The 27,291-nt window shown below is 37.4% G+C and overlaps 2 long non-coding RNA genes across 3 annotated transcripts in view; one reads left to right on the forward strand and one right to left on the reverse strand.

Moving 5' to 3' along the window:
• Positions 1-961: 961 nt before the first annotated feature.
• LOC107987346 (uncharacterized) lies at positions 962-26,199 on the forward strand. Of its 2 annotated transcripts, XR_007068467.1 has the most exons (4): positions 962-999; positions 1,177-1,284; positions 23,375-23,533; positions 25,948-26,199. It is a non-coding gene; the product is annotated as an uncharacterized LOC107987346 (long non-coding RNA). The 2 variants fall into 2 exon arrangements; XR_001756076.2 differs by having other exon boundaries at positions 23,375-26,199.
• The window catches only part of LOC107987347 (uncharacterized), a 54,946-nt gene continuing 48,544 nt past the window's right edge, over positions 20,890-27,291 (reverse strand). The window contains exon 3 of the long non-coding RNA XR_001756079.2: positions 20,890-21,975. This is a non-coding gene — a long non-coding RNA (uncharacterized LOC107987347). The remainder of the gene's footprint in view (positions 21,976-27,291) is intronic.

Genomic DNA, 27,291 nt, shown 5'->3' on the forward strand with positions numbered 1-27,291 from the left:
CTTGGTGCTATACCCTGCTGTCGCCTAGCTGGCACCTAAGCTGCAAGAAAAATGTCTTCTTTACATTTCCCTTTGCTTTTTATCACACAGAAGGAATTTTGCCCCATAGATGTCATGTGGAATTTGCTGTGTGTCACCTGAAGCCACTTAGTCTCAGAGGCTCACCCAACACCTCTGATGCTGTACCTATTGATGGTTATTTAGAGCCCAAGGGCTCCTCAGTTAACATCTGATGAATGTGGCCATAACTTGGTGCTTTCCTAAAAGGCAGCATGTCTTTTATGGTCCAACATAGCTAGAGATGTTATTCAGAAGCTAGGTCCTAAAAAAGAAACCTCATGACTCTGACCAGTTCCCTATCCTGTTGTGGCTGAGCTGAGCTGGTATACAAGATGGAAAACAAAGTTATCCATATTCTTCTCTCTTCTCTTTCGAATTGGAAGAAAGCTGTCTCTCTCACTCTCTCTCTCTTTTTTTTTTTTTTTTTTGAGACAGAGTCTTGCTCTGTCACCCTGGGTGGAATGCAGGCAATCTCGGCTTACTGCAACCCCTGCCTTCCAGTTCAAGAGATTCTCCTGATTCAGCATCCCAAGTAGCAGGGACTACAGGTGCATGACACCACGCCTGGCTAATTTTTTGTATTTTTAGTAGAGACAGGGTTTCACCGTGTTAGCCAGGATAGCTCAAACTCCTGATCTCATGATCCGCATGCCTTGGCCTCCCAAAGTGCCAGGATTACAGGCATGAGCCACTGCGCCTGGCAGAGATCTCTTTTTTATCTATTAGCTGTGCAGCCTGTGATTAGGAGAGCAATGATGCCCTCACTCTCTTAACCACTCCAGCTGGGGGTTTCGGTAGATCTTGATTCCCCAGTCCACTGTCTCTGAGCTTAGTTCAACACTAGAATTTGCATAAGAGTTGTGGTCCTTATAAAAGTCCTTGAAGACTGCCTTTCAGGTTTACTTAGAAACCCAGAGCATTTTAACCCTCAGTAGTGAGGTAGGTAAAAACTCCAGTTTGTACTGCTGGAATTGCCAATTCCCCTCTAACTTGGGCTGGATTAAATGCTCCCTTTATGACTTAGCATCTGCTGAGTTTGGTTCATTTTTTTCCTTTTTGCTCTAACAGGACAGCACTCAGTTTATTGCTTCAAAATTCCTGTTTTCTCTTCCCCAGCACACAGAGATATTCCTTCAGCATACCATACTGCCATAGAGTGATGGAGGAATGACACCAGTAATTTGAGACCTCTTCAGTGGCTCTGTGATACAAAGTTAAAACCAGGTACTTTGAGTGTCTCTCTCTTATATATAAGGTTGTATATAAATACTAGAATAAATATTTTCATTATTAGAATGGAATATTAGTCAGAGGAAAAATAAAATCCTGTAATTTGCAGCAACATTGGGTAAATATAGACAACATATGATAATGAAAGTAAAGTTTTATTTTGTTTAAATTGGCACATAATTTTCTACATGTATAGGTTAAAAATGTGATGTTTTAATATATGTAATTATGTGATGATTAAATCAGGGTAATTAATATATCCATTAACTTAATTATGTGTTATTTTCTTGTGGTGAGAATATTCAAAACTCACTTTTTTTGCTATTTTGAAATATATAGAACTTTATTGTTTATCATAATCAAGGACTATGTGATAGAACACTAGAAATTATTTTTATTGTCAAATTCTAAATTTATAACAAATAAGACAACTACTTTCTTTCCTTCCTTTCCACTTCATATATTTTGTTAACCACTATTGTACTCAATACTTTTATAAAATCAACCTTTATCAAGCTCTCAAATGTGAGTGACATAATGCAGTTTTTTTATTTCTGTGACTGGCTTATTTCACATAGCATAACATCTTATGGTGTCCTCCATGTTGGCACAAACGTCATCATTTTGTTCTATATATGACCAAATAATTAACTATTGTGTAAATATACCACATTTTTATGTACTCATGTTGATAAAATTTGTAGTTGATTTTTTTTATCCTGGCTATTGTAAATAGAGCTGCAATAAGCATGTAAAAACAGATTTTTTTTTCTTTTGTAAACTGATTTTCGTTACCTTGAATAAATACTCAGTAGTGGGATCTCTGAATCATATGGCGGTTGTAATTTTAGTATTTTGTAAACACTCAACACTTAAAAAATATAAGAACAGTGCTAATTTACACTCTCACCTGCAGTATAAATATTTCTTTCTGTCCACAACCTCATGGTCATTCGACAATTTTTTAATCTTTTTACTGATAGCTATTTTCACTAAAGTGAGAAAATATCTCACTTTTGTCTTAATTTATATTTTATGGTGATAAGCATAACACTTCTGATATTAATGGGAGTATTCGTATATCCGCTTTTGAGGAGAACGTGCATTTCTTCTTTTGAGAATTGCCTAATCAGATTCTTTGTCAATTTTTTTTTTTTTTTTTTTTGAGACCAAGTCTCTCTCTGTCACCCAGGCTGGAGTGCTGTGACATGACCTTGCCTCACTGCAACCTCCGCATCCCAGGTTCAAGCAATTCTCTGCTTCAGCCTCACTAGTAGCTGGGATTACAGGCACCCACCACCATGACCAGCTAATTTTTGTATTTTTAATAGAAACGGAGTTTCACTATCTTGGGCAGGTTGGTATTGAACTCCTGACCTGCCTCGGTCTCCCAAAGTGCTGGGATTACAGGAGTGAACCATCATGCGTGGCCTCTTTGTCCATTTTTTAAAAATCAATTTGTTTTGTTTTTTGCTAATGAGTTTCTAGTATATTCTGGATATTAGTCCAATAGCAAATTTCTTAATTTATTGTTCTATTTTCTATGAAAATACTTTGCAGTACAATGTGGTGAAGTGCATTGATTTTTCATTTTGCTGCTTCTGCTTTTAAAGTCTTATTCATGAAACATTTGACTAAACTAATGTCTTGAGGTGTTTCTTCTATTTTTGTGGTAGTTTTATAGATCAGAAACTTATGTTTAAAGTCTTTTCTTTTTTATTTATTTATTTATTTTTTGAGATGGAGTCTTGCTCTGTTGCCCAGGCTGGAGTGCAGTTGTGCCATCTCGGCTCATTGCAAGCTCCACCTCCCGGGTTCATGCCATTCTCCTGCCTCAGCCTCCTGAGTAGCTGAGACTACAGGCACCTGCCACCACACCTGGCTAATTATTTTTGTTTTTTTAATTTTTTTAGTAGAGATGGGGTTTCATCATGTTGGTCAGGCTGGTCTTGAACTCCCAACCTCAGGTGATCCACCCACCTCAGTTTCCCAAAGTGCTGGGAGTATAGGCATGAGCCACCGCTCCAAGCCAGTTTTGTTTAAGTCTTTAATCCATGTTTAGTTGATTTTTGCATAAAGGGTGAAATGTAAGCCTTTTAAAAAAGTAAGAATTTTATTTCTCTGCATATTCAGTATTTCCAACACAATTTATTAAACACACTATTCTTTCATCCAAAGAATGTTTTTCAGGCCATGTTGAATAATCTAAGTTGAGAATGTGCGAATTTATTTATTTTATTTCTCTGTTCTCCCTCAATTGTCTATATGTCTGTACTTACACCTATGTCATGCTGTTTTGGTAACTACAGCTTTTTTGTCAATTTTAAAGTCAGATACTGTGATTCATCCAGCTTTGTATTTCTGCTCAGTAGATTTTTTGATATTCAGGTTCTTCTGTGGTGCCATTAAAATTTAATGATTGTTTTATCTACTTATATAAAAATCTTGTTATTTTGACAGAGATTTAATTTGATCTATAAATTGTTTTGGATAATATAATTATTTTAACATTTTTCACAAACTATAATCCCATGTATTTCATATTTGTGTCCTTTTAATTTCTTTTGTTAGCATTTTGTGGTGTTTATTTCAGAATTTTTTTTATCTTTTTGTTTGAATTGATTTCTTGCTACGATTTATTTATTGTTTTCAAATTGAATGCTGTTGGTATATAGAAACATGGCCAATTTTTATATGTTGATTTTATATCCTGTATGTTTACTAAATTTGTCTATCAGTTGTAATGGTTTCTTTGGTAGAGTATTTAGTTTAATTGTTTAACTGTATAGAATTATGTCATCTGCAAAGAGAGGTAATTTAAGTTTCCCTTTTCTAATTTAAATGTTCCATATTTATTTCTATTTCCTAAGTCCTCTGGCGAATACTTTCAATACTGTGTTGAACAAGTGATGAAAGTAGGCAACCTTGTCTTATTGGAGTTACTAGAGAAGTCAAAAAAAAATTAACCTTTCCCCCTTTACTGAAATGTGGGTTTATCATATGTAGTTTTTATTAGGTTGATGTATGTTACATACTAAATTTTTGGAAATATTTCTTATGAAAATATGTTGAATTTCATCAAATGCTTTAAGATATGAGCTCAATGTACTACATATATTGAGATTATTGTATTGTTATGATGATTATTCTGCTGATGTGATGTATCACATTTTACAATATCTCTATGTTGAATTTTGTTTACATTCCTGTGAAAAATACCAGTTTACCATGTTATATTATCTTATTTTTTGTTTTGATAATATTTTATTGAGGAGTTTGCATCAGTGTTCATTAAAGATACTGACTTGAAGTTTTATCTTTTATTATGTCTTTGTTTCATTTTGGTATTAGGATAATTCTAGCCACATAGAATTATTTAGGAAACAGTCTTTATTTTTTGGAATAACCCAATGATTTATATGAATTCTGTACTAATGTTTGGTAAAATTTATCACTAAAGCCATTTATCACTAAAGCCTTCAGATTTATTTTGTTGAGATACTTATATAATAACTTACTATTTAAATTAATTTTTGGTATGTTCAAGTTTTATTTATTTTTTATTTTAGATTAAAATTATTTTATTTTTATAATTTTTATTTTCTTTTTAATTTTTGTAGGTACATAGTTGGGGTATACATTTATGGAATATCTGAGCTATTTTGAAATAGACATTAAATTTGAAATAATTTTATCATGAAGACTAGATTATACATTATGCCAAGCATTTTATTCATTGAGTAGCAAACAACCCATTTACTCTCTTTTGTTACTTTTAAATGCACAGCTATTATTGGCTATAATCACTTTGTGTGCTATCAAAGAGTAGGTCTTATTAATTTTTTCTATTTTCTTTTTATGGCTTAAACATCTCCACCTCCTGATCAGCTTCCTATTATTCTTTCCAGCCTCTGGTAAACAGCCCTCTACTCACTATGTTCATAAGTTCAATTGCTTTATTAGGTTTCACAAATAAAGAAAATGTGTAATGTTTTGCCTTTCTGTTCCTGCTGTATTTTACTTAAAATAATAATATGACATCCATCTATGTTGTTGCAAATGAAAGCATGCTATATTTTATGGCTTATTAGTATTAGTACTCCATTGTGTATATGTACCACTTTTTTACTCACTCATCTTTTGATGAATACTTAGGCTGCCTCCAAATCTTAGTGATTGTAAACAATGTTGTAACAAACACAGGTGTGCATATGTCTTTTTGATAATATGAATTTTCTTGCTTTGGGGTATATAACCAGGAGTGAGATTGTTAGATCATACAACAGCTCGATTTTTAGCTTTTTAAAAAATCTCCCAAATGTTCTCCATAGTGTCTGTACTACTTTACATTCCCAGCAAGAGTGTACAAGTGTTCACATTTCTCCACATTACTGTCAGCATTTGTTACTGCCTGTTTTTTTTCTTTTTGTATCAGCCGTTTTAACTGGAGTGATATAATATCTCATTGTAGCTTTTATTTGCATTTCTCTGATGATCAGTGAAGGTTAGCAACTTTTTATATGTCTATTTGCTACTCATATGTTTACTCTTGAGAAATGCCTATTCAAATATTTTGCCCATTCTTTAGTCAGGTTATTAGATTTTTTTTTTTCCTATATCTTTGTCTCAGCACTTTATATATTTTGGTTACAAATCTTTTGTCAGGTGGGTAGTGTGCAAATATTCTTTCAGGTTTCATGGGTTATCCCCTTCCCTCTTCCTTTTTTTTCTGAGCAGAAGCTTTTAACTTGATGTGATAACATTTGTTTATTTTTGCTTTGGTTGCCTTTTTGTGCTTATGAAGTATTAAACACATAATTTTTCCTGAGACCCATGTTCCAGAGTTTGTCCACAAAGTTTATTTTGTTGTAGTTTAAGAGTTTAAGGTCATAGGTTAAATTTTAATTCATTATGATTTGATTTTTGTACATGGTGAGAGATAGGTGTCTAGTTTCATTTTTCTGCATATGGATATCCAGTTAATTGAGCAACATTTATTTAAAAAAAAACTGTCTCTTTCCCCAGTATATGTTCTTCACACCATTGTTGAAAATGTGTTTTCTGTAGGAGCATAGATTTGTTTCTTGGTTCTCTATTCTGTTCCATTGGTCTATGTGTCTATTTTTATGTTAGTATCATGTTGTTTTGGTTACCATAGCTCTGTAGTATAAATCAAAGTCATAATGTGATTTTTTTTTTAAATTTTTGTATAGAATAGCTATTCTGGGTTTTTTGTGGTTTTATATACATTTTATAATTAATTTTTAATATTTCTTTTAAGAATATCATTGGTGTTTTGAGAGAGAATGTATTGAATCTGTAGATTGCTTTGGGTAGTATTGACTTTTTAGCAATATTGAGTCTTCCAGTTTTTGAATGTGTAATATTTTTCAGTTATTTTGGTGTTTTTTTCAGTTTATTTCATCAGTGTTTTAGTTTTTATTACAGAGATATTTCACTTCTTTGGTAAAGTTAATCCCTAAGTATTTAATTTTCTGTGTGGCTATTGCAAATGCAATTACTTTTTAAATTTTATTTTCACATTGTTTCCTGTTGGCATATAGATATGCTACTAATTTTGTATGTTAATTTTGTATACTGCACCTTTACTAAATTTGTTTATTCATTCCAATAAGAGTCTTTAGGTTTTTCCAAATGTGAGATTATATAATCTGTAAGCAAGGATAATTTGACTTATTTCTTTCCAATTTAGAAACTTTTGTATCTTTCTCTTGTCTCATTGCTCTAACTAGGACTTCCAATATTATGTTGAATAAAAGTGGGCCACAGTGGGTATTCTTGTCATATACTAGATCTTAGATAAAAGGCTTTCAGTGTTTCCCTACTAAGCATAATAATACCTGTAGGCTTATGTGGTTTTATTGAGGTACGTTTTTCTCTCCCCAGTGTCTGAGGTTTTTATGTTGAAGAGATGTTGAATGTAATGAAATGCATTTTTGGTATCAATGGAATTATCGTATAATCACCATATACAAATCAATCAGTGAGATGAATCAATGTTGATATCATTCATACTTTATTTTACTTTATTTTATTTTATTCTACTTTTACAATTGTTAGTAATGTGAGTGAGGTCATGTTGGTGAGGTCATGTTGGTGAGCCTTTGATTCTGCCATCTTTCTCTCCATCTCTTCATGCCCTTTTCTGTTCTGGTTTTTATTAATTCTTTCTTCTTCAATCTGAGTAAGCTATCTAAGTGTAGAAATTTATCAATTTCCCTTGGGTTTTTAACTTGTTTGTGTATATAGTTATTCATAATAGTTTCTAATGATTTCTTGCACTTGGTTAATGGCTTTACTTATTTTTTGTTCTTGTTTTTTCTTTGTCTAGCTAATGGATTTTCAATTTTAAATCTTTCCAAATAAACACATTTATATTATGATGATTATCTATTTTTAATCTGAATTATATTTTCACTGATATTTTTATTTTGTTATATCAACAGATTGATTCATCACACTGATTTGTATATGGTGACATATTATGCTTGCATCACAGAGATAAATTTTACTCAATCATGATGAATGATCTTTGTAATGTATGGTTGAATTCAGTGTTCTAGTATTTGATTGAGGATTTTCATATCAAAATTTATCAGATATGTTAACCTGTAGTTTTCTTGTTTGAATGTGCCTTTGGTTTTGGTATAAGTATAATACAGGCTACACAAAATGAGTTTGGAAGTTATATTCTTCTCCTCTATTTTTTAGAATAATTTGAGTAGTATTGTCATTAGTTCTTCACCTCATGGGTTAAAGTAATTTTCTGCCTTAGCCTCTGTAGTAGCTGGGACTACAGGTGCATGCCACCATGACAAACTCATTTTTGTATTTTTGTAGAGATGGGGTTTCATCATGTTGGCCAGGCTGGTCTCGCACTCCAGGCCTCAAGTGATACACACGCCACCAGCCTCTTAAAGTGCTGAAATTACAGGCATGAGCCACTACACCCAGCCTTTCTAAAAACACTTTGTATCTCTATTTCTTTGTCTACTTCTACTTTATGGCCAATAATTCTTACATTTGTTTTTTTTGAGGCTACATTATAAATCCTACAGATGCATTATATTATTTTATTATTATTTATTATTTTGTCTTATTTTACTGTACATTTTTAATAGTCTGTCTTTAAACTCACTAATTATTCCACTTGATTTTTTGTTATTAAATAATTTTCATAGATTCTTTAGCACGACAATTGTATTTTTCAGCTACAGAGTTTTTGCTTGCTTGTTTTTAATTATATACATATCTTTGAATAGCTTTTCTGATATAAATCTAAATTCCTATTTGTGTTACCTTACATTAGTTTGAATTTTCTAAACATGACTATCTGCTCATCTGTACAGGGAAATCATGTGCATATAGAGTATATGCCGTATTTTTATATAAGCATACAATGCAAAAGAATCACATCAGGGTAAGTGAGATATTCATCTTCAAGCATTTATTTTATCTTTGTATTACAAGAAAGAATTATACTTTTAGTCATTTGAGTTAGGGTTTTTCTCCTTTTTAAATTATTTGCTATGCATCATTAGGTTTTTAGAATTTAAAAACTTTCTATTTACCTGATATGGGTGTTTGTTGATATAAACAGTCTCAGTACTGCATTTGCTTTATTCTACATGTCCTGGTGTGACATATTTTTATTGTCATTAGCTTAGATGTTCAAATCTTAATATATTTGTTAACTTCTGGTTCCTCAGGGTCATGTTATTTCTCAACAACCTCACCAGTATCTCTTATTTCCTGGCTTTTCAATAATTGCCCTTCTGACTATTGTGAGATGGTACCTCATTGTGGTTTGGATTTGCATTTCTCCAATAATCAGTGATGTGGAGCTTTGTTTCATATGTTTGTTGGCTGCATAAATGTCTTCCTTTGAGAAGTTTCTGATCATATGTTTTGCCCACTTTTTGGTGGGGTTGTTTTCACTTGAAAATTTCTTTATGTTTCTTGAAAATTATGGATATTAGACCTTTATCTGATGTGTAGACTACAAACATTTTCTACTACCCTGTAGGTTTCCTGTTCACTCTGATGATAGTTTCTTTTGTTGTGCAGAAACTCTTTAGTTTAATTAGGTTCCATTTGTCAATTGTGGCTTTTGTTGCAATTGCTTTTGGAATTTTTTTCATGAAGTATTTGCCCATGCCTATGTCCTGAATGGTGTTGCCTAGGCTTTCTTCTAATTTTTTTTTTATGGTTTTGATGGCTACATTTAAGTGTTTAATCCATCTTGAGTTAATTATATAGGTGTAAGGAAGGGATTCAGTTTCCGTTTTCTGCATATAGCTAGCCAGTTTTCCCGTACCATTCTCTTGAATAGGAGATAATTTCCCCATTACTTGTTTTCATCAGGTTTGTCAAAGATCAGATGGCTGTAGATGTGTGTTGTAATTTTTGAGGCCTCTGTTCTGCTACATTGTTAGACGTGCCATGCTTTTTGGTTTTGTAGCCTTGTAGTATAGTTTGAAGTCATACAGCATGATGACTCCGGCTTTGTTCTTTTTGCTTTGAATTGTCTTGACTATTGGGGGTCTTCTTTGATTCCAAATAAAATATAAAATAGTTTTTTTTTAATTCTGTGAAGAATGCCAATGGTAGTTTGATGGGAGTAGCATTGAATCTTAAATTACTTTTGGCAGTATGACCATTTTCAGGATATTGATTCTTACTATCTATGAGAATGTAATATTTTTCCATTTGTTTGTGTCCGCTCTCATTTCCTTGAAGAGTGGTTTGTAGTTCTGCTTAAAGAGGTCCTCCCCATCCCTTGTTAGCTATATTCTTAGGTATTTTATTCTTTTTGTATTGATTGTGAATGGGAGTTTATTCTGGATTTGTCTATCTGCTTATCTGTTGTAGTTGTAAAGGAATGCTTGTACTTTTTGAACATCACTTTTGTACCCTGAGACTTTACTAAAGTTGTTTATCAGTTTAAGGAGTTATTGGGCTGATCATGTCACCTGCAAACACAGAAAATTTGACTTCCTCTCTTTCTATTTAAATAACTTTTATTTCTTTCTCTTTTATGATTGCAGTGCTGAGAACTTCCAATATTATGTTAAATAGGAGTGGTTAGAAAGGACATCCTTGTCTTGTGCCATTTTTCAAAGGGAATACTTCCAGGTTTTGCCCATTTGGTATAATATTGGCTGTGGATTTGCCATAAATAGCTCTTATTATTTTGAGATATGTTCCATCATTATCAAGTTTACTGAGTGTTTTTTACATTAAGGGATGTCGAATTTTATTGAAGGCATTTTCTGGATATATTGAGATATTCATGTGGTTTCTGTCATTTGTTCTGTTTATGTGATAGATTACATTTATTGATTTGTGTATGTTGAACCAGGCTTGCACCAAAAGGATGAAGCCAACTCGATCATGGCGGATAAGCTTTTTGATATGTTGCTGGATTTGGTTTGATGATATTTTATTGAGAATTTTTCATTGGTGTTCATCAGGTATATTGGCTTGATATTTTTATTGTTTTGTCTTTTCCTGGTTTGGGTATCAGGATGATTCTGGTCTCATAAAATGAGTTAGGGAGGAATCCCCCTTTTTCTATTGTTTGGAATAGTTTCAGAAAGAATAGTACTAACTTCTCTTTATACATCTGTTACAACATGACAGTGAATCCATCTGGTCCTGGGCTTTTCTTAGTTGGTAGGCTATTCATGAGTGCCTCAAATTCAGAACTTGTTATTGGTCTATTCACGGATTTCACATCTTCCTGGTTTAGTCTTGGGAGGGAGTATGTGTCCAGGAATTTATCAATTTCTTTTAGATTTTCTAGTTTATTTGTGTAGAGGTGGTTATAGTATTCCCTGATGGTAGTTTGTATTTCCGTGAGATCAGTGGTGATATCTCCTTTATCATTTTTATTGTGTATATTTGATTCTTCTTTTATTATTTGTTAGTCTAGCTATGAGTCTATTTTGTTAATCTTGAAAAAATCTGGTGTATTCACTGAGTTTTTGAAGGGTTTTTTGTGTCTCTACCTTCTTCAATCCTGCTTTGATTTTACCTATTTCTTACTTCTTGTAGCTTTTGAATGTGTTTGCTCTTGCTTCTCTAATTCTTTTAATTATGATACTAAGTTGTCAATTTTGGACTTTTTTTGCTTTCTGACATGGGCAGTTAGTGGTATAAATTTCTCCCTTAACACTGCATTAGTTGCGTCCCAGAGAATCTGGTAAATTGTTTCTTTGTTCTCATTGATTTCAGAGAACTTCTTCATTTCTGCATTAATTTTATTTACCCTGTAGTCACTCAGGAACAGGTTGTTCAGTTTCCATGTAGTTGGTGGTTTTGAGTGAGTTTCTCAATCCTGAGTTCTAATTTGATTGCTTTATGGTCTGAGAGACTGCTTGTTATGTTTTCAATTCTTCTGCGTTTGTTGAGGAGTGTTTTACTTCCAATTATGTGGTCGATTTTAGTATAAGTGCTATGTAGTGCTGAGAAGAATGTATATTATGTTGATTTGGGACAGAGAGCTCTGTAGATGTCTATTAGATCTGCTTTGTCCAGAGCTGAGTTCGTGGGTTAAGTATTCTTGTTAATTTTCTGTTTCATTGAACTCTGTAATATTGACAATGGTGTGTTAAGGTCTCCCACTATTATTATGTGGGAGTTTCAGTATTTTTGTAGATTTCTAAGAACTTATTTGATGAATCTGAGTGCTCCTGTAATAGGTGCATGTATATTTAGAATAGTTAATATTTCTCATTGCCTTGATCTCTTTACCATTATGTAATGCCATTCTTTGTCTTTTTTGATCTTTGGTGTTTTAAGGTCTTTTTTCTCAGAGACTGTGATTGCAACCCCTTTTTTTCTTTTGATTTGCTTGGTAAATATTCCTCCATCCCTTTATTTTGAACCCATGTGTGTCTTTGCACATGAGATCGGTCTCCTGAACACAGCACACTGATGGGTCTTGACTCTATATAATTTGCCAGTCTTTGTCCTTCAATTGGAGAATTTTGCCCATTAACATTTAAGATTAATACTGTTATGTTTGAATTTGATCCTTTCAACATATGATCCCTTATTTTGAACATTAGTTGACGTGGTTTCTCCACAGCATCAACGGTCTTTACAATTTGGCATGGTACCGGTTGTTTCCTTCCATGTTTAATGCTTCCTTCAGGAGCGCTTGAAAGGCAGGCATAGTGGTGACAAAATCTGTAAGCATTTGCTTGTCTGTAAAGGATTTTATTTCTCCTTCACTTGTGAAGCTTAGTTTGGCTGGATATGAAATTCTGGGTTGAAAATGCTTTTCTTTAAGAATGTTGAATATTGGCCCCCACTCTCCTCTGGCTTATAGGGTTTCTGCTGAGAGATCTGCTGTTAGTTGTACAGGCTTCCCTTTACAGTTGTACAGAACTTCCCTTCCCTTTATAGTTGTACAGGCTGTCCCTTCCCTTTATAGGTAACTCGACCTTTCTCTCTGGCTGCCCTTAACACTTTTTCCTTCATTTCAACCTTAGTGGATCTGACAATTATATGTCTTGGGGTTGCTCTTCTTGAGGAGTATCTTAGTGGTGTTCCAGTTCCTGAATTTGAATGTTGGCCTTTTTTGCTAGGTTGGGGAAGTTCTTCTGGATAGTATACTGAAGTGTGTTTTTCAACTTGTTATCATTCTCCTCAACACTTTCCCATACACCAATCAATCACAGGTGTGGTCTTTTCCAATAGCCCCATATTTCTTGGAGGTTTTGTTCATTTGTAGTGGGAAATCAGAGAACCAGAGAGACCAATCGGGTCACAGAAGGATTTATTATTTAGGGTGTACCCCAACTCTGTGGACTAGCATCCAGAAAAAGTGTGAGCACCAAACAAACAAGGCAAGTGCCTTTTATGCATCTTAAGGCAGGCAGTACACGAGGCAGGAAGCAGGCTTACAGAAGTGAGAACAAAAAGCAGTCAGTCACATTATGACGTGTCTTACATCTTTGGAAAAACATGTTTTGCAGCTAGTGCTTATCTATCTTGTGACCTTTCAGTTGTTCAGCAGAAAAACAGGAACTTAACAGAACTTACAAAATATGCAGAGGGTAGATTATGGATAACGTTTCACAGAGAAGCAGTTAGTATTCTTTCTTAACTCCTACTTCAGTGGTGGGGGGCTACTTGAGGCCTATTTTATTCTAACTCTAACAACAATTTTTATGCAAGTTTTAACTTTCCTTTAATTCTGTACTTCATTTCCCCCTTTGATGCTTTTTATGAATGAATTTTTAATAGAAAGCACCACTATCATCTATTTCTCAATGGGATGGCACACTTTCTTCTCTAGATAGAGGATAGTGTTTACTTAAAGCCATCATTTGGGTGGTGGTTTGCCTTGTCACAATTGCTTTTATACTTGACTGAATGCTTCTGATCAAAAGAGGCAGGAGAGAAGGGAGTATTAGACACCCACTTAAGATAACTACAAAGCAGTCTGTTATGGTTTTAAATCCACAAAAAGATGAAAAACATCCTCCGAAGAAGGAGTCTGGAGACCAGCCTTTCCTGATTTGCACTGGAACATGAGCCAGCTTTCACATCTTTGCAGTAATCTTTATGACAAGTTGTTCATTATCATCAATTTCCAGACATTTGTTAAACTGAACTTCCCACATACTGTCCTTTCTGAGGCCAGGAGTTAATCTAGTACCAACCTATTTTGATAAATAGTTTATCTCCTCTGTGTGGCTTGCACGGCCACCAAACCTAAAGCCCTTGATGTTTCCTTGGTTATAATTTCAAGAACAGCTTGTAACCTTATGACATGGCTGATCATGTAAATGAGGGTATGATATCCCCACATTCCATCTTCTGCCCAGGTGGCTTGCCCATAGTATTTAATAATTCTTTCAGGAGGCCATTCATTACATTTCCAGTATCATATATCTATATCCTTTTTGAAGTTTGTTCTATTTTTGAGACTAACAACAAAATAAAATAACCTCCTGGTTCATTTTTATTCTCATCATAAACTGTATACCCTGAAGTCTCACCCTGCTTTAGGGGGGTTAAGAAAGAGAAAGGCCTAATTATTTTTAATACATTGGCCCCTGACCACTTAGGCAGCAGTTTCTGATATGCCTATGTTCCACAGATGCAATGGAGGCCAGAGGGTACTTGCCAAGAATTTGGATCCTCAAGCTGATACCAAGAATGGTGCGAGGTGGGAAACTGAGAAAAGGGGTTAAAATTAGATAAGGAGGAATCATTTTTTGTACTCCTCCATGGAATTTTCCTTCAGTTCTATTATAATATTTTTGCCCTAAGCAAGTTAATTATCCTACTACATCTGTAAATGCTTCTCCTCAATGGATGATACAGTACCTTCAAATTATGGAGGTATTCAGTATCCACACACTGGCTGAGTCTATTGGTTCATTGGTGGATTTAGGAAGAGTGAAATTATCTTGAGGCATTAATTCTTTTGCCTCCCATGGCCATTGGTCTTCTACATTTGTTCCTCCACAAACATAACAGGAAGTAATTCCTAAACTGCCAGTTATGTTTTCAGCTAGCTGGGCAAATAAGTTTTTGGTTGGAGGAGGTGGCTCAGATACCTTCTGGTTGGAATATTTATAAAATGACATGAAGACTAGAACTGAGGTATTGGCTGTTTTGTTTGTTTTCTTAATAATAAATAGCTAGATTTCCATGGCTGCCTTTTGATCAGCAACTCCTAACATTATGGGATATCCTGTAGTCCATATGAGTTCATTTGGCTTTAAGATAGTAAAATTCACAGTACTACAGGAACATGTTTTCCAATTACAGTGAGGTTTGGCTAGCATTCTGGTAAGTAGAGCCTCCTCTAATGGGTTGTGTAACCATGTTGAGCAGCTCCAGCATCCAATCATCACTAGGTATCTGGCAGAGCAAATGGAGGGTGCACATCCAGTGGTATGACAACTGCTAAGGTAACCTTCAGGGTCAGAGATAATAATTAAGTGAGTGGACACCGTGAAAGTGTGTTGGCAGAGGTTAAGATATAAGGATGTGGCATCTATGCCAAGGGAAAAACCCTTATTTTGATTCAAAAGATCCCCATCTTTTATTTTTGCATGAGACTCAAACTAGAATTCTGTGAGTGGAGTCTTAGGGTCATAACATATATATGGTTTGTTATTTCCTGGGTCATAAATTGAATATGTTATTTGGTCATGTACACAGGTACCCAAATGTGCCCTGGCACACATGTAATGAGTATGATATAGGAGAGTTTTAGTTAAAGTTCTTCCAGACTTTGTGGTATGAGTGCAGTGGGGGCACCATTCCAGGTGCTTTCTCTTTGCCATAGGCAGTGGTAGTAGCAAAATAAAAATAAGGAGTGGTATGTTTACACAAAGTATGGACAAAAAAGGTCCTTTCCTGGGAGGAGGGACTGGCAAAAATTATAGCATAGCAACAGAACAAGTAATATTACTAAGATAGCAACTAAACTTAATACTTCTATCCACATTTACTCATCTGAGGAAGACTCTTCAAGCTTCAGCCGTGCATAGACTAGTCAGCTTGTGGTGTGACTAGGGCAGGGCTTGAAGTTTCCTCAAGCTTCAGCCATGTGTAGACTGTCCAGCCTCTGGAGTGGACAGAGCAGAGTGGTTGTCCTTCTCAGCATGACTTGGTTCCATCGCAAGATCAGCCCTGTTGGGTGGTCTGGGTCTTCCTGACTGGTCCACTTGTCCAGTGCTGCCAATTTTGGCCAACTGTGGTGGACCCACAGTATGATACCTGCAACTTTAACAGCTGTGGAAGTAGACAAGATTACAGCATGGGGCCCATCCCATAAGGGTCCTAGAGTAGTTGGATTCTGTTTCATAACTCAAACCAGGTCCCCAGATTTGAGCGGGCATATTGGGTCTGTTAGACTTACAGGCATCATTTCCCGTACCCAGCCATGGACTTTCTGCATAGCTAGACCTAAGGCCTCTATTTGCCTGGTTAAGTTTAATTCCCCTAAATCATGGAGGTCACCTTTAACCTGAGTTATGCTGGGGGTGGTCTGCTGAACAAAATCTCCCAAGGTGAATACCCAGTTTGTTTGGTAGTGGGGCACCTGACTCAGAGGAGGACTCCGGGCAAAACCTGATCCCACCTGAGATGAGTTTCTTGACAGAATTTCTTCAGTAGTTGCTTGAGTGTTTGGTTCATCCACTCTACTTTTCCTGAGCTTTGCAGGTGGTAGGCAGTGTGCCACTTCAATTTTATTTTTAGTAGTTGTGTTAGCTGCTGTACAATCTCAGCCACAAATGCCTGGCCATTTTCTGATCCTATAGTTACAGGCAGTCCAAATCTAGGAATGCAGTCTTTTAACTGCACTCTAGTTACTTCCCATGCCTTTTCTGTCCTGTTTGGGAAAACCTCAACCCACAGTGAAAAGGTGCAAACAAGCACTAGTAGGTACCAGTGGCCCCCAGCCTGGGGCAGTTTGGTAAAGTCTACAAGTAAATTTTCACAAGGTGTAGCTCTGATTTCTGAACTGCTGGGGGCCAGGTTGGCCCCTGCCATGGGTTGTTTTGAGGACAAATCAGACATTGCTCACAGATGGCTCAAGTGATGGGGCTAAGTCTTTGCACATAAAAGTGCCATCCTAGCAAGGTTTCTAGTGCTGTCTTCCCATGTGGGTTCCTTGGTGGAACTGATTTACAAATCTGGGAGTCATCATCTCAGGTATGGCTAGCCTCCCATCAGAGAACTTCCATCATCCTCCCTCAGTGTAGTTTCCATTTTCCTGAGCAAAACAACTCCTTTCATTTAGAGTGTAACTTGGGATCTCTGGGAGGGAAATCTCTGGGAAGAGAGGCATTGCTAGGGCTCCCTCTTTAGGAGGAAAAGTGGCCATTGATGCCCATTGTGCCTTTTTATCTGCTTTTCTGTTTGCTTTTGCTTCAAAATTTCTGATGCTTTATGTCCCTTGCAGTGAATGACAGCCACCTTTTCTGGGGCCCACGCAGCATCTAAGAGTTGTAGAATTTTCTCTTTATTTTTTATCTCCTTTCTTCCTGCAGTTAAAAGTCCTCTTTCTTTATATATGGCCCCATGAGCAAGCAGTGTCACAAAGGCATACTTAAAGTCAGTATAACTGTTAACCACTTTTCCTCTGGCCAACAGTAGGGCTCTTGTTGGAGCTGTTAGCTCTGCTTTCTGAGCAGATTTCCTAGCAGGCAGAGGCTGAGCCTCTACCACTGAGTCCCAGGTTACTACTGTATATGCAGGTTACTGGATCCCTTCTGAGATAAAACTGCTCCCATCCATGAAGTACTCAACATCTGGGCCAACAAGGGGCTGGTCTGTTAAGTCTTTTCAGCTACAGAATAATTCCTCCACTACATCCACACAATAGTGATAGGGAATGGAATCTTTTGGCCTTTTTATGGGTAGCAGAGTGGCTGGGTTTAAAGAAATAACAGTTCCTATGATTACATAAAGATTTTCAGATAAGAGTCCTTGATATCTATCTGGTAATTCTTGGGTTTGACAACCAATAATGTCCCCTTTGATCCATCAAGATGATAACTGTGTGGGGTACTCTGATGATTAGTTTTTGTCCTAAGGTCAATTTATTGGCTTCTTGTGACAAAAGGGTTGTAGCAGCTGATGTCTTAAAGCAAGGGGGCCAGCTTAGCACCAAAGGGTCCAGCTGTTTGGATAAATACACCGCTGGTATATGCCATGACCCCATCATTTGAGTCAGGATCCCTACAGCCACTTCCTTCCATTCATAGACATATAGGAAGAAAGGCTTAGTCTGATCTGGCAGTCCTAAGGCCAGGGCCTGGATTAAAGCCCTTTTGATCCCTTGTAAGCTTTTTCCTGATTGGCTTCCCAAAGAAGGGGCTCTTTTTCCCCACTCTGTGGCTTCATACAGCAATTTTGCCATAAGTAAAAAATTTGGAATGTAGATGTGGCAGAAACCTGCTGCTCCTAGGAATTCCCTTATTTGGCACCCAGTGGTTGGGATGGTACTGCACAAACAGTCCGCTTTCGCTCACTGCCAAGCTCACATTTCCCTTCACTTATTTCAAAACCTAGATATATGACTCCTTCTGAACAGATGTGTGCCTTTTTCTTGGATACTTTATATTTGGCCTTCCACAAAAGGTGGAGGAGTTTCTCAGTGCCCTGAAGGCAATCCACCTGAGTGGGGACCATAAATAGGAGGTTATCTATGAACTGCAGTCAGAAGCATTTGTCATTAGGTGGAATGAAAGCTCCTGAGATCTGATGCTAGCACTTCTCCAAAGATTGTAGGGGAGTTCTTAAACCCTCGTGGGAGCCTTGTCCAAGTATACTGTGTTTCTCCCCAATGAAATGCAAAGATAGGTCAGCTCACTGGCACCAGCTGGAGACAAAAGAATGCATCCTTTAGGTAGAAGAAAATAAACCAGGCTGCACTAGCTGGTATTTGTCCTAACAAGGTGTATGGGTTGGGCACTACTGGATAGATTGTCTCTGTGACCTGGTTTATGGCACGCAAATCCTGCACTGGCCCATATTCCCCAGATGGCTTTCATACTGGCAACAGAGGAGTGGTCCAAACTTATCTGCATTTAACTATGATTCTATTCTTGAAAAGCCAGTCTATATGCTTTTGAACACCTTGGATGGCTTATATGAAAATCAGTTACTGACAAACTCATACCAGGGTGGCTCCTGGTTTTAACTCTACTAAGACTGGTGCCTGATTTACAGCCAATCCAGGTGGATTGTTTTCCGCCCATACTCTAGGTATTTTGGTAACTAGCCCATACTTCTCAAGAGGTCCTAGCAGTCCTTGCTTAAGTGGTACTTGTGCATATAGCCTCCATTCCTCAGCTTTTGGCAGTGTGAGGGTTAACACCATAGCTTTTGGTTGACGTAAGTTTAAATACATATTTCCTTGTGGTGCAAAGGAAATGTGTGCCTGTAGTATTTGGAGCAAGTTTTTCCCTAGCAAAGAAACTTGACAATTTGTAAGGTATAGAAACTCATGGTGGACTTCTCATCCTCCAATAATGCAACCCCTTGACCAGCAAAAAGGCCTTTTTCTGAAACTCCAGATCCCCTGAAAATAGTGGTATAATTCTTAGATAGTAGCCCTATGGGTTGGGTAACTACTCAGTGTTTAGCTCTGGTATCTACCATAAAGTCCATCCATTGGTCCCCTCTCTCCACTGTGACCATAGGCTCCTGGTGGCCCAAAGAGATGGAGAAACAGTCTGTCTCAGTCCTCCACAGTCTCTGCCAGGCTGATCAAGTTGGCATCCGGTTTCAGAACACAATGACTTACAGCTGGTAGCTCTGGCCAAGCTCCCTGGTCACAGATATTGCCCTTATCCTTCTCTGGACATTCATCCTTCCAATGTGCTTTCTTTTTGCGTAATGCACACTAATCCCTCTCCAGCCTTCTCTGGCCTTCAAATCCGGGCCACTTTGACCTCTTCATAACCATGACCATGACCACATCCTTGTCCCCTTACAATGCTAGTTTCTATTTCAACAACGGCTGCCACCAGTAGCTCGGCCTTTTTCTTAATCATCTGCTTAGCCTCCTTCCTTTCCTCCTGATCGTGGTTAACACATACTTTGGTGGATACTTCTATTAGCTGGGTGGCATTCATGCCTGCAAAACCTTCAAGATCCCAAAGCTTTTGTTTAATGTCTGCCTGTGCCTGACTAACAAATGACATATTCACCATGCACTGATTCTCTCTGTAGCCTCGGGGTCAAATGGGCTATAGAGCTGGTATGCCTCACAGAGACTCTCATAGGACTGACTTGGGCTCTCATCAGCCTTTTTAAGGACCTCTGAAATTTTTCCTATGTTCATTGCCTTTTTCCCTTCAGCTTTTATCCCATTTAAGAGTGCTTCCTGATATCTCTGCAGGCAGAGCTGCTCTTTTGCCTCATTTGGGTTCCAATTTGGGTCTGTCTCTGAGAACTGTTCCTGGGCATACCACCAGACATCATGTGTGCCATCAGGTGCATTGTTCTCTATCCACTGGAGGGCCTCTTTGGACACCCTCTGATGCTCCTTTGTATTGAACCATGTCAGAAGGAGCTGCTGGCAGTCTGGCCAGGTAGAATTGCGAGTCAGAAAAATGGACCGCAACAGGTCTATTACAGACTGGGGCTTCTCTGTATAGGATGGAGTATGCTGTTCCCCATTTAGGTGGTCTGTGATGGAGAAAGGCTGGTAGACAAAAATTCACTGCCCACCCCGGACCCGGCCTTGTTCATAATAATACGTCTGTGCTCGAGTCTCATGGAAGAGCATTTGCAAGGCTTGGGTGCAGCCTGACCAGAAGTGGCTTGCTGTTTAATCCTGCCTTTCCTCTTTGGTTTTTATGGGCAGGGGCTCAGGATCCCCTCCATGGGGTTATGCTGCTTGAGACTCACTTTTCTCTGAGCCTGATTCCTCGAGGGCCATTTGCTTTCTGCCTTGTCTTAGCCCTGACAAGGATGGGTGTATTGGAGCATAAGAAGGAGGAAACTTTCTTTCCTTGGAAAGCGTTTGGAAGACTGTTTTTTCCTGACTACTCTGTTGCTTTTTCTTCTCCTCTGAGGCTCCTATTGAGATAGACTTCTCAACTTCCTTAGGTATAGCTCAGGCTACCAGAGACTTACAATAACTTGTCAAATAAGGTTGTATCCATTTGGGATGTGTTAGAACCATGTTCAACCAGGAATCAATATATGGGAACTGATCTAGATTCCCAGGCTGTTCTCCAACCCCTGTCACTTCCTTAAACACATGGCCAATTTCTTCCCTATCTATTGTGTCTTTGGCAGGCCACACAACATTAAAAGAAGGCCAGTCTAATTCACAGAGAGTTCTCAACCTTTGGGGGGTCAGTTTTACCCCATAATCTCCTCCAAAGCGTTTCCCAGAATTATTTAACATGCACTCCAATGGAGAAGCTTTTGATGATTTTCCTCCCATTCCTCCTTTTATGACACACACTCACTCTACCTTTTGTTACAGACTGATCAGACTGGTTCCTATTACGGGAATTTCATGCACTGCTTAGCTAGGACAGTATCGTATTCCCACTGCAGCTGCTGCAGCTGTAGGGCAGCTCCTGTCAGCCTTATACAGATCGCTCTAGATCTGGTCAGCCACACACTGGCTCCAGAGCCCACAGTCCACATTAAGAGATCTGTGCCTTCACCTGTCATGCCCCATGTTGGCCCTTCCCAGAACTGTCTCTTTAATGTGCTTTCACATGCCTCTTCACTCCCAGTTCACGTTTTTTAATTAGGGTGGCAACTCATTCTTGCTACGTCTAGTTTCAGTTTTTATTTTCCTAAACTGACTTAGTGAGCCTCTTTCATGTGCTGTGACAGTTAGGTTGTAAGTTTCATCCAAACTGGCAGGTCACTCCCACTTTCCTCAGCCCCTCTGTGTTAGACGAGTAGTCACACCCTGGGAAGTGATTAGGCCCCCGTTTCATCCTTATGGGATGGGTCTTGACTTGGGGCTTCAGGCCTTACCACGTTTTTGAAGAATGCACGCAGCTCCTGGAATTGTCCTGTAGCCCCTTTGCCAGTTCCATTGTGCTGTTAGGGAAGGGCACCGGGATGCAGGAGAGCTGGTCTCCTCTCCAGTCTGAAGTTCTCCTGTCAGTGCCTAGGATTTCAGGTATCCCCTGCTCTTGGGCTCCAGTCCTATGGGCAAAGGAGACAGAACATTTGCCATCTCCAATCCTGGATGAGCCCCTAGAAAATGTTACAGGAAATCAGAGACTGGAGAGACTGATGGGGTCAAAGGACGATTTATTATTTAAGGTATACACTGGCTCAGTGGACTAGTGTCCAGAAAGTCTGAGCACCAAACAAACAAGGCAAGTATCTTTTATGCAGTTTTTGTTTTTTGACGCAGAGTCTCACTCTGTCACCCTGGCTGGGGTGCAGTGGTGTGATCTCAGCTCACTGCAAGTTCCACCTCCCGGGTTCACACCATTCTCCTGCCTCAGCCTCCTGAGTGGCTGGGACTACAGGTGCCTGCCACCATGCCTGGCTAAGTTTTTGTATTTTTAGTAGAGACGGGGTTTCACCTTGTTAGCCAGGATGGTCTTGATCTCCTGACCTCGTGATCTGCCTGCCTCGGCCTCTCAAAGTGCTGGGATTATAGGCATGAGCCACTGCTCCCGGCCTTTTATGCATCTTAAGGCAGGCAGTACATGAGGCAGGAAGCAGGCTTACAGAAGCGAGAACAAAAGCAGTTAATCATCTGTGACACGTCTTACATCTTTGATAAAACATGTTTTACAGCTAGTGGTTATCTATCTTGTGACCTTTCAGCTGTTCAGCAGTAAAACAGAAACTTAGAGAACTTACAAAATATGCAGAGGGTAGATATGGTTAATATTTCACAGAGAAGTAGTTAGTATTCTTTCTTAACTCGTACTTTGGAAGGGGGCTATTTGAGGCCTATTCCATCCTAACTCTAACAACAATTTTTAAGCAAGCTTTAATTTTCTTTTAATTTTCTACTTCACATTCCTTTTCTTTTCTCTAACCTTGTCTTCATGTTTTATTTCAGTAAGCTCTTCTTCAACCTCTAATATCCTTTCTTCCACCTGATTAATCTGGATATTGATACTTGTGTATGCTTCACAAAGGTTTTAGCACTGTTTTTCAGCTCCTTCAGGTCATTTATATTCTTCTCTAAACTGGGTATTCTAGTTAGCAATTTCTGTCACCTTTTATAAAGGTTCTTAGCTTTCTTGCATTGGGTTAGCACATGTTCCTTTAATTCAGAGGAGTTTTTTATTACCCACCTTCTGAAGTCTACTTCTATCAACTCATGAAACTCATTCCCCATCCAGTTTTCTGCCCTTGCTGGAGAGGAATTTCAATCATTTGGAGAAGATGAGGTATTCTGGTTCCTTAAATTTTCAGCATGTTTTTTGTTTTTTTTTTCTTATCTTCATGGATTTATCTGCCTTTGCTCTTTGAGGCTGATGATCTTTGGACAGGTTTTTTTAGTGGGGGTCCTTTTGTTGATGGTGATATTGTTTCTTTCTGTTTGTTTTTTTCTAACGGTCAGGTCCCTCTTCTGCAGGTCTGCTGCAGTTTGCGGGAGGTCCACTCCAGACCCTGTTTGCCTGGGTGTCACCAGTGGAGGCTGCAGAACAGAAAGGATTGCCACCTGCTCCTTCCTCTGGAAGCTTCATCCCAGAGGGACACTGGCCTGATGCCAGCCACAGCTCTCCTGTACAAGGTGTCTGTCTACTCCTGTTTGGTGGTATCTCCCAGTTAGGAGTCATGGGTGTCAGGGACCTACTTGAGCAGGTAGTCTGTCCCTTAGCAGAGCTGGAGCACTGTGCTGGGAGAATCCTTCTTGACAGATGCTGCTCTCTTCAGAGATGGCAGGCAAGAATATTTAAGTATGCTGTTGCTGGGCACATAGCCAGCCCTTTCCCCATGTGCTCTTTTTCCACGGAGATGGGAGTTTGTCTATAATCCCTTGAATGGGGCTACTGCCTTTCTTTCAGAGATGCCCTCCCTAGTGAGGAGGAATCTAGAGAGTCAGTCTGGCCACAGCCGCTTTGACATGCTTTGGTGAATTCTGCCCAGTATGAACTTCCTAGCCTCCTTAGCACTGTCAGGGGAAAACTGTCTACTCCATCCTCAGTAATGGTGGATGCCTCTTCCCCAACCAAGCCTGATCATCCCAGGTTGACTTCATGCTGCTCTGTTGGCAGCAAGAATTTCAAGCCAGTGGTTCTTAGGGTGCTGACTCCATGGGAGTGGGACCCACTGAGCAAGACCACTTGGCTCTCTGGCTTTAGCCCTCTTTCCAGGGGAGTAAATGGTTCTCTCACTGGGGTTCCAGGTTCCACTGGGAAAAACAAACAGACAGACAAACAAACAGCAACAACAAAAACAAAAAAGCTGAAGCTAGCTTGGTGTCTACAGCCACCCAGTTTTATGCTTGAAACCGAGGGCCCTGGTGGTGTAAGCACACAAGGGAATTTTCTGCTCTCTAGATTGAAGATCCCATGGGAAAACTGTAGTATCTGGGCCAGGTAGCACAGTGTTTCATGGCTTCCTTGGTAGGGCAGAGATTGGTTCCTGGCTTCTTGTACTTCTCTGGTGAGATAATGCCCTCTCTTGCTTTCTGCTCACTGTCCATAGGCTTCGCCCACTGCCTAAACATTCCCAATGAGATTAACTGGGTACCTCCTTTGTAAATGTAGAGATTATCCATTCACTTTCTGCATTGGTCTCAATGGAAGCAGCAAACTGGAGCTGTTCCTATGTGGCCATCTTGTCAGATCTCCCTGTAATTCTTGTCTTATTAAATTGTCTTAACAGAATTATCCACTGACAATGTCAATGTATCAGAAATATATGAGTTTATTTATTTGTTAATTTTTCATTCAACTACATATTTCTTTGTGTACACACTTTGAGTAGTTCTTCATTTAAATAATTGTAGTTATTTAGTAATACTTAGTAATATTAGCAGTAAAGAAATATGAACAAGAGTTTCTTTTCTTCTCAACAATTTTGGCTAACCAGACATCAATATAAATTTTATAAGATAATTTTTTAGTTCTGCAATGGAGAAACAAATTAGAGATTGACAGATTTATATAAAATTTAAAATAAAAATTTTCAATTCTGCACAGAAAAGTACAGCAATATGCTAGAAAAATATTAAGTTTGCAAATAAATTTGAAAAAAGATTTGCACTTTAAACATGTTAAATCTTAGAATTTGGGATCCAAATACATTGTTCTACATTTAGTTCTTTTTTATACTTCATATAATATTTTGTACTTTTAGTATACAATTATCACAACATGTATACATTTTTAATATTGATTTTATTATTTTTGTGTTATTCTAAATAAAATTATCTCTATAGTTTTGTTTCCATATTGTAGATTACTAGAGTTTAGAAACATTTCATTTAGGTGTTGATTTTTAATACTTGTATCTATGCATTAAAATATGCAAAATTTATATGAACGTAATTTATATTACTTTTTACATTTTTTTCTAATGACTTAGGCTAGAAGTTCCAAGGCAAAGTTAAGTGAAAGTAAAAAAAACAACGCATCCTCATTCCACATCTTATTTAAAAGTAAGCTTCCACTTAGCACTACTGAAGAAAAGAATACCTGTGAATTATAGTGCTCTCTATGAGAGAGGAAATTTTCCTTTCATTTCTAGTTTATTTACTTTTAATAATAAATGTTATATTTTTTGAAAATGTTTGTTGTATAAGCTATGATTATACTGTTCCTTATTATATTCTTATTCTGCATTGCATTTATTGGTTTTATAACTAATTTGTTATAAATTATTTAGGTACGTGACTCTTTTGGAAGGTATGTAAGCCTTGAGGTGTTGATGGATTTTAATTGTTAAGCATCCAATGTGATTCTTTATTGACAAAATGTATCTGGGTATGCATTTATTAACTCTGCATTTTATATGTTATTTATTTATTTAATTTTTGCTAAGTTCAGAGAATAGAGTATACATGCAGGTGTGTTACATGGGTATGTTGTGTACTATTGAGTTTTGGCCTTTAGTGTGCCCATCACTCAATTACTAAATGTTGTTTTGAATACTTTTTAACTCCCACTTTCCTTCTGTACTCTCCTTTTTTGATGTCTCTAGTGTTTATTATATCCCTCTATATGGCCATGTGTACTCATCGTTCACCTTCCACTTACATGTAAAAACATATGGTAAGTGATTTTCTGATTTTGAGTTATTTTACTAAAGATAATTGTTTTTAGCTCTGTGGATGTGATTGCAAAAACTGTAACATTATTGTAAATATTTATGGTTATGCAGTATTAAATCATGTATAGACACCACATTTTCATATTTTCAATTCAATCATACTTTGATGGAAACTTGGGTTAATTCCATGACCTTACTATATATATATATATATATATATATGTATGTATGTATGTATATATATATATATATATATATATATATATTTTTTTTTTTTTTTTTTTTTGAGACAGTCTCTCTCTGTCACCATGCTGGAGTGCAGTGGTGAGATCTGGCTCACTACAACCTCTCCCTCCTAGTCAGGATGGTCTTGATCTCTTCACCTCGTGATCTGCCTGCCTTGGCCTCCCAAAGTGCTGGGATTACAGCATGAGCCACTGCACTCAGCCAACCTTGCTATTTTGAATGGTGCCATGATAAACACAGCAATGCAGCTATGTGTTTGATATAACTCCTCTCACCACCACCACTTTGAGTAGATATCTAGTTGTGGCATTGCTGGGCCAAATGGTAGTTCTATTTTTATTTCTTTGAAAAATTTTCAACTGTTTAAATAAGAATTGAGCTAATTTTATTCTCAGGAACACTATATCATTATTCTATTTTTCTGCAATTTAGCCAGTGTTTGTTGATTTCTGAATTTTTGTAATAGTTATTCTGACTGCTGTGAAATATCTCACTGTGATTTTGATTTTTCTGCCTCTGATGATTAACAATGTTGAGCATTTTTTATCTATTTGTTGTTCACTTGTATGTTGTCTTTTGGGAAATATCTGCTCATGACTTTTGCCCACAGAATGTTTTCTTTTCCTGGTTAGTTATTTGAGTTTCTTCTAGAGTCTGGACATTAGCCCTTGTAGGAAATATTTTTTGCCTTTTTTTTTTTTAATATTCTACAGGTTATCTGTTTACTGTGTTATTGATTTGCCGTACTGAAGCTTATTAGTTTAGTTGTTGCATTTGTTCCTGTATTTGTTGCATTTGCTTTTGAGGTCTTAGCCATAAATATCTTTAAACTGTATTATTAAATAACACATTGTATGACTTATCTGTTTTATCTACAGTACATAAAAATTGTACTATTAAATAATAAAGTGTATTATTTATCTGTTTTACATACTGTTGGTTTTGCTTTGCTGGTATTTTGAGAATTTTTGCACTTAGGTTTATTGGAGACATTGGTCTGTAGCTTTCTCTTCTTGTATTTGTTTTGTT

Source organism: Homo sapiens, chromosome Y, assembly GCF_000001405.40.
Source record: "Homo sapiens chromosome Y, GRCh38.p14 Primary Assembly".
In the NCBI taxonomy this organism is placed as follows: domain Eukaryota; kingdom Metazoa; phylum Chordata; class Mammalia; order Primates; family Hominidae; genus Homo; species Homo sapiens.